This window comes from Homo sapiens, chromosome 3, assembly GCF_000001405.40.
Source record: "Homo sapiens chromosome 3, GRCh38.p14 Primary Assembly".
Lineage (NCBI taxonomy): Eukaryota > Metazoa > Chordata > Mammalia > Primates > Hominidae > Homo > Homo sapiens.
Window position 1 is genome coordinate 133950386 of NC_000003.12, and position 13391 is coordinate 133963776.

The 13391-nt window shown below is 49.5% G+C and overlaps 1 protein-coding gene across 1 annotated transcript in view, besides 2 other annotated features; it reads right to left on the reverse strand.

The window, feature by feature from the left end:
* SLCO2A1 (solute carrier organic anion transporter family member 2A1) overlaps positions 1 to 13391 on the reverse strand; it is a 97225-nt gene that overhangs the window by 17685 nt on the left and 66149 nt on the right. Inside the window, exons 4-6 of the mRNA NM_005630.3 lie at positions 4581 to 4808; positions 3278 to 3376; positions 823 to 959 (exon numbers count right to left, since the gene is read on the reverse strand). Of these exons, the coding sequence (NP_005621.2) occupies positions 823 to 959; positions 3278 to 3376; positions 4581 to 4808 (464 nt within the window). The remainder of the gene's footprint in view (positions 1 to 822; positions 960 to 3277; positions 3377 to 4580; positions 4809 to 13391) is intronic.
* Positions 5238 to 5769: an enhancer, noted in NCBI's record as "H3K4me1 hESC enhancer chr3:133674467-133674998 (GRCh37/hg19 assembly coordinates)". NCBI's record gives its function as "activates a minimal SCP1, AML or CMV promoter by ChIP-STARR-seq in naive H9 embryonic stem cells {active_cell/tissue: H9 hESC(naive)}" and the evidence as "EXISTENCE:reporter gene assay evidence [ECO:0000049][PMID:30033119]".
* Positions 5770 to 6299: an enhancer, noted in NCBI's record as "H3K4me1 hESC enhancer chr3:133674999-133675528 (GRCh37/hg19 assembly coordinates)". NCBI's record gives its function as "activates a minimal SCP1, AML or CMV promoter by ChIP-STARR-seq in naive H9 embryonic stem cells {active_cell/tissue: H9 hESC(naive)}" and the evidence as "EXISTENCE:reporter gene assay evidence [ECO:0000049][PMID:30033119]".

Consider the following 13391-nt stretch of genomic DNA (forward strand, 5'->3'; position numbering starts at 1 on the left):
GCCAGCTCACTGCTGAGTCCTTCTGGGCATCCACCCTAGGAATGTCTATCCTTATCTTTGCCCTGTCCCAGCTCTCCGACAACCATTGCTGCATTCCCCATCTCTCACCTGGTCTCTGCACTGGCCTCTTCAGATCTCCAGCCTCCATTCCTTCCCTACCCCCTAAACTCAACCTAGCTGCCATATTGCCACCCAAGTGGCCACCCAGTCACTGCAGTGCTCTAGAACTTCATGGAATTAGAACAATCTTTAGACCCTTCAGCTGAACATCAAGCCCCTACCCAGACTTCTCTTCCTTGCTCTCCGTTCTCATCCTTCCCTGATTCCTTTCCCCAGCAGGCGTGACTGGAAGATGCTTGGAAGGTCCTCTGCTCAAAATATGCTCCAATTTCAGCCACCCTCAACACTGTTCAATGCTAGGAATCCCTTCCTACTCAGTTTTTCAGGTTCAAACACTGAACACTGATAGGCCCTATTAAATGTAAAAGTTGACTGTACCAGGTCGCAGACTTGGCCTTTATTGGCTCTTAATTCTTTAGCTCAATTTAGATAAGCTCAGTGTTTCCCAAACTGTTCCCTGGAGGTCTCCTGATCCTTGACATGCTAACATGGTACGGGAACACATAGGAGATACCACCTTTTGGAAATTCACCAACACCCTCACCTCTTAAAGCCTCTGGGAAGTCCTGCATCATGAAATTTGTTTAGATTTCACCCTGAATTTGCTTAACATGCTGCAGCTTTTTAGCTCTATTTATTTTCTACCCCCACATCCCTTTCTTCAACTCCATCAGGTAGAGTCATGGGCTCTTGGAACCTTACCTTTGCTCCTATGGGCATTGCTCGAGGGAAGAAAAAAAAGGGGAAAGAGGTGAGAACCAATAAAGCTGAAGAAATGAGCAGGCCTAGCCACCAGGCTCCAATCCATCGGGGGTCACCCGGGACCAAGTTAACTGCAGCTGAAGAGAAAACGAAGAGTGCAAATGTTTGTTGAATGCATGATCTCACCTTACTGGAAACAGAACCTCTGATCAGGGGGAGTTTCACTGATTTTCTTCCCAGGATGCAGAAGAGGCAAGCCATGAGCTAGATTCTTGGTCAAAACAACATTCCCTCTCCCAGCTATTGGTCTTCCCAGAGGACCAAGGCCACTGCACATGAAGCACAGCATCAGAAAATCCCCGGGCAGGAGGGAGCAGTACCTTCACCTCCTTATTCAACTCCCAGCCCTTGGCAGAAGTAGTGAAGAAGGGAGCTGACTCTCACTCACAAGGGCACACCATGGGCCAGACTCTAGACCACGTGCTTTCCATCTGTTTTCCACTGGGTTCTCTAGCAAGTCTGCCCACCTCTCACCAGTCAAGAAACTGAGGATAGAAGGGGTTAAGTCCCTTGCCTCAGGTAAAGGCTAGTAAGTGCCATTTCATTGGTCAATTTCAAGCCTGTGTCTCCCTGGTATGCAAACCTGCCCTCTTAACCATTAAACTACTGCCTCCCAACTTTATGGATCCCTAACAAAGGAGGCCCCATAATCCTTAGAAGCCTAAAGAAACAACCATCAACTGTGTGAACTGCCTGGCTTCCAAAGGAGCAGCTTTCTCTTGGCAATTCTCTTGCACACGTGTAAAAGTCTGCCATTGTGTTTCTCTGTGTAAAGAAACTATCCGGGCATAAAGGGAAGGAGAAGGTGGCAGAACGGTTCAGTCAAATCATGACAAGCTTCCCTGGGCACTGCCCTGAGTGGACTGGGCACTCAGTTGCTGGTCTCTTTGGGCAACCAAGAGCCAGGAACCAATTCGGGGAGTGCCAGCAAAAGGACAGGGATGGCTTGATCCTGAGGCATAAGACACCCCCTGGCTTTCTACTTTCATTGGAAGTACAGCCAAATGACACCATGCAGATGGCACTGTGGTCTGACAGTCTTAGGGACGGGAGTCTAGGCTCTAGCAGCATGGTTGCAACTAGCACCTGCCAGATATCTGTGACGTGACTTGTTTGCAGGGCAGTGGTGGGAGTGCTCTTCCTGGAGTCTGGCTCAGTCCTGCCTTTCAGCCACCCCTTCAGCCGAGCTGGAACTTCGTATCCCACCCACACACTCCCCACATTCTCCACCCTACAGCACTTTGCCTGTCCCTCTGTTGTGGTGCTGACCTTCCCCATCTTGTGGGAGACTGGGTAGTGTGGGACACACTCTCAAAGGCAGGAAGCCCTTGCTCCATTCATCCTGGGGCTGGCTCCCTGAATGGTTAACTCAGAACTTATGCTGGTGTCTAGGGACTATATATTCTCATCCATACCACTTGTTGAAGAATACGAACTCATACTGTTGACTTCTTAATATACATTAGGCTTGTTCTGATCTTTAAAACAACTTTATTTTACTATCATTAGCTCCATTTTACAGATGAGGAAGCTGAGGCACAGAAAGACAAAGTTACTTGCCTAAGATCACTTGGCTAGTAAGAGATGGAGCCAGGATGAGACCCAGGCAGTCCCGTCCCAGCGCCCACACAGTCAAACACCATGTTATACCCTCTGGATGTGAGTCATCATCCGTGTGTATATTTTATATGATGTTTCTTTTTTTTCCTCAAAAGAGCTCTTATTAAATCTTAAAGAACCAGCAACATCTTAGAATCAAAGAACCATAGAATTTTTTTTTTTTCTTTCAGACAGAGTCTCACTCTGTCGCCCAGGCTGGAGTGCAGTGGCATGATCTCGGCTCACTGCAAGCTCTGCCTCCCAGGTTCACGCCATTCTTCTGCCTCAGCCTCCTAAGTAGCTGGGACTACAGGCATCTGCCACCACGCCCGGCTAATTTTTTTGTATTTTTAGTAGAGACGGGGTTTCACCGTGTTAGCCAGGGTGGTCTTGATCTCCTGACCTCGTGATCCACCCGCCTCAGCCTCCCAAAGTGCTGGGATTACAGGCTTGAGCCACCGCACCCAGCCCATAGAAATATTTTTAATGCCACCAAGATGGGCGCTGTGGTGGCAACACCTGAGGTCCTGCCCTGGGTCTCCAAACTTCTTAAGGGCAGAAAGTGAGTTTGCTTCAGCAGCTTGTTCCTCACAGTGGCCAGCGTGGGCCCTGAGAGAGGAGGCACACACTGTCTGCTCCTGGCTCTCCGAGGGACTGCAGGGATGAGTGAGCGAGTGAGGAGGTGGCAGAGCGCATCTGGAGCTGAAGCTTCATTCTCTGTTCTGATTGGATGAGGGGGCTGGGGGCTGCTTTATTGAGCTGGGGATGGGAATGGGTGTCCTCTGCACATACTCACCTGTGTTGACCCTGCCATAGTCCACAAAGATCTGCAGCATGACAGAGCCCAGCAGGTACCCGAAAGCCGGTCCAAATACAGAGATGGCAAATAAGATGGCTGGAAAAGGAAGTAAGGGGAAGGAGACTGAGATAAATGGAGAGAGTTTGGCAGCCTTGGGCTCCCAAGCTGAGGGGGAGTCTTGAGATATCACTTCATCTGTTCCCAAGCCTGATAAGCCCACACCTGTGGCATCTCCCACCAGCAAGGCCAGAACCACTCAAGATTCCAAGACATATAGAACCAAGGCTATTTCTTCCTCCAGCCAACTTCCAAAGAGACCTGCTTGCCAGGAAGGAAACAGGCTCCAAGGCATTTAAAAATGCCAGGTGATGCTCCCTGTGGGTACGATGCTGGGGGCCCTCGGAGGAGCTCATGGTGCCACAGAGCCTGTGGGGGTGGTCTGTGTGGTCTGGAGTATAGGCCCTGAGGATGCTCAAAGTGGTGTGTTCTTTTTTTTTTTTTTTTTTTTTTTTTTTAGATGGAGTTTCACTCTTGTTGCCCATGCTGGAGAGCAATGGTGCAATCTTGGCTCACTGCAACCTCTGCCTCCTGGGTTCGAGTGATTCTCCTGCCTCAGCATCCCAAGTAGCTGGGACCACAGGTATGCGCCACCATGCCCAGCTAATTTTTTATTTTTAATAGAGACGGGGTTTCTCCATGTTGATCAGGCTGGTCTCGAACTCCCGGCCTCAGGTGATCCGCCTGCCTTGGCCTCCCAAAGTGCTGGGATTACAGGCATGAGCCACCACGCCCGTCCCAAAGTGGCTTGTTCGAAGGGAAGGATTTGGGCATTCACGTGGTCATCTGCTATCTGCTTTGCATGGGCTTCTTTGAGGCCAACCTGCTCCTAAGTGGATGTCTCAGAGAAGATATGTGTGTCCTGGCCTGTGCCTGAAGGACTAGTCAGAGAGCAACAGTAGGTGCTGTTGGTTTAGGGTCCATCCAGTGCCCAACACCAGCTAAGTGGTTACATATGCCATCTCATGTATCCCACAGCCATCCAGCGCACAGATAATATCAGCCTCCTCCTGGAGGTGAGAAACCTGGGGCCCTGGGGTTCAGCCATTTGCCTCAGATCACACAGCTGGGAGGTAATGGAGCTGACATTCAAACCAAGTCTGTCGGATCCCCAGGCCTCTGAACTCATTTGCTGGGTTGTAAGCAAAGAGGGTGGGACCTCAGTTTAGTGCCCCAGGGCCTCATCAAGTGCTACATCAGGACCTCACCCCTCCCCAAAGCCCTCTTCAAGCCGGTGACTCACAGATGTACAGGGGCGAGTTGCTGGGCTCTGAGAAGTCATCCACATAGGAGATCCCAAATGGCTGAATAGGCACTGTCCCGATGCCAGCCAGCAGCTGGGCAACCACCATCAGGCCCCACATGCTGCTGGTCTCCTTCTGGGGGTTCTGGGTGGTGCTGTGGCACTTACTGGGAGGCAGGTCCTGCCAATGCTTCTGGCAGAGCTCGGCCTGCAAGCGGCTGTTGTTCCCTGCAACGAGAGTGCTTGCTGGTCTCCACCACCCTGGTCTCCTGGTTCCACCGGCTGGCCTCCAAACCCGGCCTTTCTCCCAGGCCCCTTGGGGAAGGACCAACTTTGGCCAGAGGCTGTGCTAGCAAATGGGACATGGTTCCTGAGGACCGCGTCCTTCTGTCTGGCCAGCAGGAGGGACTCTAGAAACAAAGGTGTGAAAGAGAGGTGGAATGTGGGCTCCCCGGCCCCAGGAGCTGCTATTTCTCAGGTGGAGAGGAATCTTCCTCTCGTGAGTGTCCATGCCTTCTCCTCCATGGGCACTGGTGGGGAGCTGAGCACGGAGAAGTCAGTACCTTCATCTGTGGAGGAAAGGGGCACCCAGCTGGAAAAGGGGGAGGGGGTCCAGGGTCAAAGCCCAGGCCCGTCGGCCTCCAGCACCCTGTGCTCAGCCCTGGGGCTCTGGGCCCCCAGGGTTCTCTTCAGCAGGACAGAGGTCATGCTGTTGCACCGGGTTGGTGTCACCTACAACGTGGGTTGAGTCCCTGGTTGTGACTCCCAGGGCCTTTGCTTCTTAGTGAGCCCAGCTCCAAGTCACACTGGAAGACCTACTGCCAAAGACATTTAATATCCTTACCGTTCCGGGGAAGCTCCCAGAACTTCTGATGCTGGAGGGGCTTTAAGACCCTCTCGTTCAGCCTCTCATATTACAGATGGGGAAGCTGAGGCTGCTTCTCGAAGCCCTTCTGTGAGGGTCCCAGACACCCTGGGTGAGGCCTGTGGGCACTATGGTTCCTGTGGCTGTGGCCCTTGCCAGGCTGGGCTGCCGCTTCCATGCCTCTGTTTTTAATTTGGCCCACACTAAGCAATCAGCATTGGCAGCTCTCCAAGGCCTTAGGGGTTCTCGAGGGCTCCTTTCCATGAGATCCCCTTTCCCTGTCTCATTCAGGCTAATGGAAACCACTGACGTCACCAATCTCACTCGCTTAACACTAATGGGATTCCGTTTAATTCTCACTTGTGCTGCCCTGAGCTAGGTGAGCCTAAGTCCCACAGAGAGGAAAACCGAGCGCCGTAGACTAGCCCTGCTCCTCACACTGGACTCTGCCGGTGCTGTTGGGCTCAGGGCTGCCCTGGATGGTGGGGCTGGGGAGAGGGGTCTGTGCTCTTCATTGCCCTTTCCCCTCTCCCCAGTCGCACACGCCTCGTCCAGCCTGGCCCCACTGTTGTCTGCCCTCTCCAGTGGTGTCTATGCAGGACACATTAGAAAGTTGCTGTCATGGGAGCTCCCCCATCAGTCAGGGAAGCCTGTCCCAGGAAAAGGAAAGGAAGCCAAGGCGTCTGTTTGGTCAGGGTCATCTAGACCTTCAATAGTTGTGTCCGTGGAAGGAAGCATCCTGGCAAGCAGCCAGGGACTGTAGTCAGGGTCCCTCTGTACCTCCCTCTTCCCACTCCATGTTCATTATCCTGCCTTTCAATGCAGAATTCAAATAGAGTGGCCCGACCACATGGTGATATAATATGCAACCTTTTAGAATTGGGGTGAAAATATAGCCTTTTTTTTACACAGAAAGACAGCTGGAACAGCTTGTTAGAATAAAAAAATAGTAACTAGTAGCTTGGAGAAGAATATGTTCCCTAATTTATAAAACGTTTGTGGACTACTTGAATATGCAGAGAAAACCTCTGGAAGATGATGGCTCTCTCTGGGTGATGAGATTGTGCTGATCTTTTTTTATTTGCCTCATTTATTTTGTAATTTGTCTGGAATGAACACATTTCTTTTGTGTTAAAAGAAATACTTTTGAAATAAAGCAACAAAGTTTTTAAATTCAAGGTTTTTGTAAATAAATATATCCAAAGCTTAACAACGTCTCTCCCATTTCTTCTTTGTCCCATTCCCATTGCCCTTCTTTCTGCTCTAGGCTCTAGGCCTGCAACAGTGGAGCTGAGTCTCTGCCCATCCCCACCAACCACAACCCATCGCTGACGTCACCGATCTTGCTCACTTAACACTGATGGGATTCAGTTTAATTCTCACTTGTGCTGCCCTGAGCTAGGTGAGCCTAAGTCCCACCAGAGCCCACCACCACCTCTCCCCCGTGGAGTGTTGGGCCTCTCTCTGATTTACAGGCTCTACCGTAGAGATCCAAGTCCTAGCACCAGAAATGTCAAACACCCATGTACTGACAGGGCCAGGCCCTGTGCCAAGGTTGTGATGTATGTGGTCTCCTGCTCACAGGGGTTACTGTGAGCAGGAGACTACATAAGACCATACCTAAGTAGCTGGTTTGGGGGTAGAGCTGGGATCCGAACCTGCATGTGTCTGACTCAAAGTCCAAACTGAAATCAAGTCTGATGGCAGCTTGAAAAGACAGAACACACATTTTTCAGGGATGGAAGAACATGGCATGGGAAGATTTCCTCCATCCCTAGCCACCTTCAGACATATGAGCTCTCTGACCTCTGTAGGTGGCTGGGACCTTACACCTACTTCCTCTCAGGAAAGGGGCTGGCTGCTGGGATGTGTGCTAGAATCTGGGACAATAAGATGAAATAAACACAGTACAGGGAGTTAAGAAATTGGCTTTATCCCTAGGTAAGATAAAAATTGGTTTTATCCCTATGTATTCTTGAGCAAGTTTCTAAATGTCTCTGAGCCTTAGTTTCCCTTGGCGTAGAGGCCATAAGGTGGCTAGATAGAAAGATTCTCTGTGTCATTAAAGAGGTAGAAGACTATGGTTCCAAAAAGATGCCCAAGCATGAGAAGTCAGACCCTGCCAGTCCCACACCAGGTCTAGAGGCTGTGTCTGCCATCTTGAAAGAAGGCTGGTGCAGCTCAGTGATGCTGCAAGGGTCCTGAAGCACAGAATTGTAAAATGCTCCTGCTGAAAGACCACAGGGGCTGTCTGGCCCACCCTCCCACTCAGGAATCTATCAAATGGACCATTTCCAACACCCAGAACTGGGTGTGGCGCTGGCTGACTCCTGCAGATCCCAGGGTGAGGTCAGGGTGGCTCTGAGTGGGCAAGGCTAACAGATGTTGGAAGGCCTGGACTGGGAGCCTGGGACCCAGATTCCTATGACCCTGAATTCGTGGCTCTCTATGTTGGTGATTTTGACTTTGAAAGCTCTCAGAGGACTCCAGGGAAGGACCAAGCACAGCAGAGGGTGAGAGGCTGCTGGTGGATCTGGTGGGCAGAGTGTTAGGCTCACTGGTCACTCCCCCAGTGCAGCAGCCAGACAGGACACCCGGGGCTGTTGCCCCAGGTGGGTAAGAGTTTATATGCACAGGCTATGCTGGTCTTTGGAGGGAGTGAGGGACAGGTAACATGGCCCCATGCTCTTCTCAGGACCAAATAGGCATGTAGGGGAAAGAGAGCTAAGCCAGCTGCTCAGCTTGGGAAGTGTTCAAACATTTATACAAACCCACCTGACCTGGCATGGCTAACTGACTCAACACAGCTGTGCAGTCACTCAAAGAAATCAACACGCACACTTCTCTGCTAACTTCTCTGTGCCAACTTTGACCAAACGGATGCATTTCTGAAGGACATATACTTTGCATCCATAAATAAAAGGGCTGCTGCTACATTTCCAAGTGGGTATTTATTTCTGAAGATTCAGACAAATCTTGGGTACACTGTGTATGGAGAAATAAACAAAGTCTGAGTTCCCTAAAACCTCAGGTTGTTGTCATTCACAAGTGTGCTTGGCTGAGCCATTCCCCTCGGTGTGACAGTGGCTCTCTGTGGCACGTTGTCTCATAGGCCGTGGGGTGGCAGGACCAAGTCTAAGTTATGTGGGAGCACGGTTTAAAGCAAATCACAATACCTGGAAAGAGATGCAAAGAATCAGCCTCTGTTCCCAGTTCAGCCACTGAAGGACCATGCCTAGATGCCTAGGTCTGAGCAGCTGCCCCTCAGCAGCAGTATGAGTGATACCTGCGTCACAGGGGAAAAGGAGAACGCGGAGTCCTGAAAAGGACCTGGACCCAGTTACATTCATTCTTCAGTCGCTCAGTTATTTGGTTGATAGTGGCTGTGGGTGGGCACTCTGCTTGGGTGGGAGATGTGGGCATGACTGAGAGGCACAGGTACTGTGCCTAACAAACCCTGTGGTCCACTGTGGTACCCAGAGCATCAAAAAAGCAACCGTAATATTGCTTTATCAAATCAAAACTACAATGAGATATCACTTCATACCCATCAGGATGGCTATTACCAAAAAAAAAAAAAACAGAAAACGAGTGTTGGCAAGGGTGTGGAGCAATTAGAACCCTATGCATCGCTGGTGAGAATGTAAAGTGGTGTAGCCAATGTGGGAAGAAGAAGGGTGGTTCCTCAAAAACTGAAAAATAGAATCATCAACACTGGGCGTGACGGCGCGCACCTGTAATCCCAATATTTTGGGAGGCCAAGAGGGGCAGATTGCTTAAGCCCAGGAGTTCGAGACCAGCCTGGGTAACATGGCAAAACCCTGTCTCTACTAAAAATACAAAAAATTAGCTGGGCATGGTGGTACGTGCCTGTAGTCCTAGCTACTTGGGAGGCTGAGGTGAGAGGTTGGCTTGAACCCAGGAGGCAGAGACTGCAGTGAGCCAAGATCCTGCCACTGCCTGGGCGACAGAGTGAGATCTTGTCTCAAAAAAAAATAAATACTAATGGGCCGGGTGCGGTGGCTCATACCTGTAATCCCAGCACTTTGGGAGGCTGAGGCGGGCAGATCACAAGGTCAGGAGATCAAGACCATCCTGGCTAACACGGTGAAACCCTGTCTCCACTAAAAATACAAAAAATTAGGTGGGCATGGTGGCTCGCACTTGTAGTCCCAGCTACTCGGGAGGCTGAGGCAGGAGAATGGCGTGAACCCAGGAAGCGGAGCTTGCAGTGAGCCAAGATGGCGCCACTGCACTCCAGCCTGGGTGACAGAGCGAGACTCCGTCTCAAAAATAAATAAATAAATAAATAAATAAATAAATAAATACTAATAAAGATAGAATCATCATATGATCTGGCAATTCCACTTCTGAGTATATACCCCCAAAAATTGAAAGCAAGGACTTAAAGAGATATTTGTACCCCCATATTCAGAGCACTATCTTCCTGATAGCCAAAAGTTAGAAACAGCCCAAATATTAATCAACAGATGAATGGGTAAACAAAATGTGGTATATGCAATGGAATATTATACAGCTGTAAAAAGGAAGAGAATCCTGACACATGCTACAGCACAGATGAGCCTTGAGGACATTATGCTAAGTGAAATATGCCAGACACGGAAAGACAAATGCTGTGTGATTTCACTGAGATGAGGGATCTAAGAAGTCAAATTCACAGAAACAGAAAGTAGAATGGTGGTTGCCAGGGACTGGGGGAGATGGGAATGAAGAGTTAGTGTTTAACAGATACAGAATTTTAGTTTGAGAAGATGAAAAAGTTCCAGGTGTGGATGATGATGATGGTTGCACAGCATTGTGAACGTACCTTAATGCCACTGAACTATACACTTAAAAGTGGTTAAACAGTAAAATTTATGTTATATATATTTTGCCACAATTTAAAAATATTGCACAGGACATGTGAAGCTGGGACAGGGTGCCAGGGAGCATATGAGAGAGGCAGCAGACCCAGTGTTGTAGGAGAGGACATTCTGGAGAAGGTTTCTGGAGAAAGTGGCCTCTGAACTGAGAAGAATCGACAGGCATAGATAGAAGATAAGGGTGGGGAAGTGGGGAGGTGAGGAGGAGAGAAAGAGAGTGTGGAAGGGCTCAGATGCGGGGGTGGTACATTCCACAACATGAATAAAGGTCAGTGAGGCTGGCGCTCAAACACAAGTCCTCCAGGGTGAGGCCTGGCTGCCCCTGGAGGACTTGTGCATGATGGGAAGGGGCCTGGATTGTATCCTAAGGAAAACTCCAGAAGGGTGAAAATCATGAGGGGTCAGTGCAATGAACACACTAGAGGACTTAGGAGTAATGTGCAAGGCCCTGTCAACTGAGACGGGTAAGGAGGGGAGTTGATTCCATCAAGAAGCAGTCAATGCATAGTATGAGGGGCAGGGCTTAGTGGCTGCGAGGATGGTGAATGCATAGCCCAGAGGGTGTGTGCGTAGACACACAAGGCCAGGCTGCTGTAGGATAGCAGGGGCATGACATGAGAAACATCACCGGGAAAAGAAAGGGCCAGAAAATGTGTGGGTTTTTTGAATGCTAGTTCTTGATTCTACTGATTCTCATTAATTTATTTAATACATATTTATTTGAACATTGTTGCTGACTTGACTAGCAAAATCATTTTTTGCAAGGTATTTAATGGTCATCAAAGATGGTAAAAACATTGAATGACTTATTAAGTCTTCATACGGCATGTTGCCTGCTGCACCACGGCCACAAAAATCCTCATGAAGTTCATCTCATGCAGTGTTCAGGAGGTGAAACTTTCTGGGGATTGTTTAACTGCTACCACTAACTTTAAAAATGTCGGATTACATGTCAGAAACTGCCTTTATTAAAATATGTATTTAAAAATAATCAATGGGCCCCAATTACATCCAAGTCTACTGAGTTCCTCTTGGCCTATTCTACATTCCAAATTGATTCAAGATCTTCCAAAGAACTTTCTTCCTTATGCCAACTCAATAGGGCCCAAACCCATCCCACATCCCAGATCAAGTTCTGACACATATAAAAAAGGGAACAGCAGTTAAATGCAACCCCGAGGTCAGTGCTATCAGAGAAGCTGTGGCCCACTAACAGAACCGGCCTTATGCGGGGACAGGTGTTTATGTCAGAGACAGATGTAGTGTGGGCTTCCCAGACAATCAAGCCTGAGACACCCTTGGCAGTGGGCGGCCCTGGCTAGCTCACTCTGGTCAGAATAGAGTCTTCTAGAATTTATTTTTATTTTATTTTATTTTATTTTTTGAGACAGAGTCTCGCTCTGTCGCCCAGGCTGGAGTGCAATAGCATGATCTTGGCTCACTGAAACATCTGCCTCCCGGGTTTAAGCGATTCTCCTGCCTCAGCCTCCCAAGTAGCTGAGATTACAGGCACATGCTACCACGCCCAGCAAATTTTTGTATTTTTAGTACAGACAGTGTTTCACCATGTTGGCCAGGCTGGTCTCGAACTCCTGACCTCAGACGATCCACCCTCCTCGGCCTCCCAAAGTGCTGGGATTATAGGCGTGAGCCACTGCGCTCAGCCAAGTCTTCTAGAATTTAGAACATTAAGCTCTTCCCTTATAAAAATAAGAGGACACACATTTTAAAAAAGAAAAAAAAATAGGAGGACAGGGATAGGAGTTCAAGGGGCAGGAAGAAGGGGAAGAAAAAGACCTTGTATGAGCACCAACCCCGTGGGCAGCCTCTGATCTAGCGACATTGATAATGGACAGCCTCTGGCAGACAGAATGGGGGACTTGAGTCTCTTTGCACCACTCCACACCTCTCCTCCCTGGAGCAAAAGCTCCAGCCTTTTCAGGAACTCGGGCACACATTAGGAAGAAACAGCAACCTCTCATTGCTTCGCAAGCACTCTAGTAAAGGCTGGAACACAGCTACTCCACGTAACTTATAGAAGCATGGCAGGTTAGAGGTTGCTAACTCTGACCTTTCCACCAAGTCAAATCCTGTAGTAAGGTCAGGAACATGCCTGCCTTTTCCTGCTACCACAACCTCCAGAGACTGCCTGCCCAAACACAGCCACCTGCCCCTATCTTGGAGGGGTCTGGAGGAGGGAGGGGCGTCTATTTCTTAGCCAGGTATCAGTCTGTTTCTCATCTTCCCCCAGGCAACCTTCTGGAAGGCTCAAGTTCATCAGAGCACATTTTTTCCCATAGAACACCAGAGGGCTGGCTTTGCCAGTCTAGTTTTCACAGGGCTGTGAAATGTTAACTAGAAACAGGCCGGACCTCTTCCCTCCTCCAGCTCCCCCAGCCCCACCCCACCAGCATGTGAGTCAACCCTCTGACTCACTCCACCATTTAAATATGCAGAATTTCATTTCTAAATTCTGGACCCTCAGCAGCTTTAGAAATGTAGGAGTCTCTGTCAGGAAGGTCTACTTCCCTAGAAAGGAACCTCCAGAGATGGGGTAGATCTGGGGCAGGCCAAGGTCTAGCCATGCCGGTGTTCAAAGCCACATGTTTCAGCGCTCCGTCCCACCCCTCGGGATGGCCAGGCTGAGGCCAGCCTTCCAGCTGTCAAGGGAATAAATAGTAAGAGGGCTTTGCACCAAGGTCTAGAGCTGGGGTAGGGAGGGGACCCTAGAACGACCAAGCAACAAGAGAAGGCCATGGCAAGAGGGGCTTTCCTTTGACTAGTCATTCTCATCATTCTAGTAAAGCAAAGAGAGAGACTTCTGCCAGGAAAGAGGAGGGCTCCTTCAAGTCATGGCTCTTAAGAGCCACCCATCCCCTCCCTGCTCAGAAGGAGACATGGCTGTCATCTGGGAGTGTGTGGGTGAGTAGGGTCAAATGGGGAAGAGGTTAGCAAGCCCCAAACTTCAGAAGCAATCCATAAGAGAACAACAGAGAAAGGCAGGGGTGTTTCCAGAGAGTTATCTGGAATCATGGCCAAGGTGCCAAGCCCTTAAACTATCAG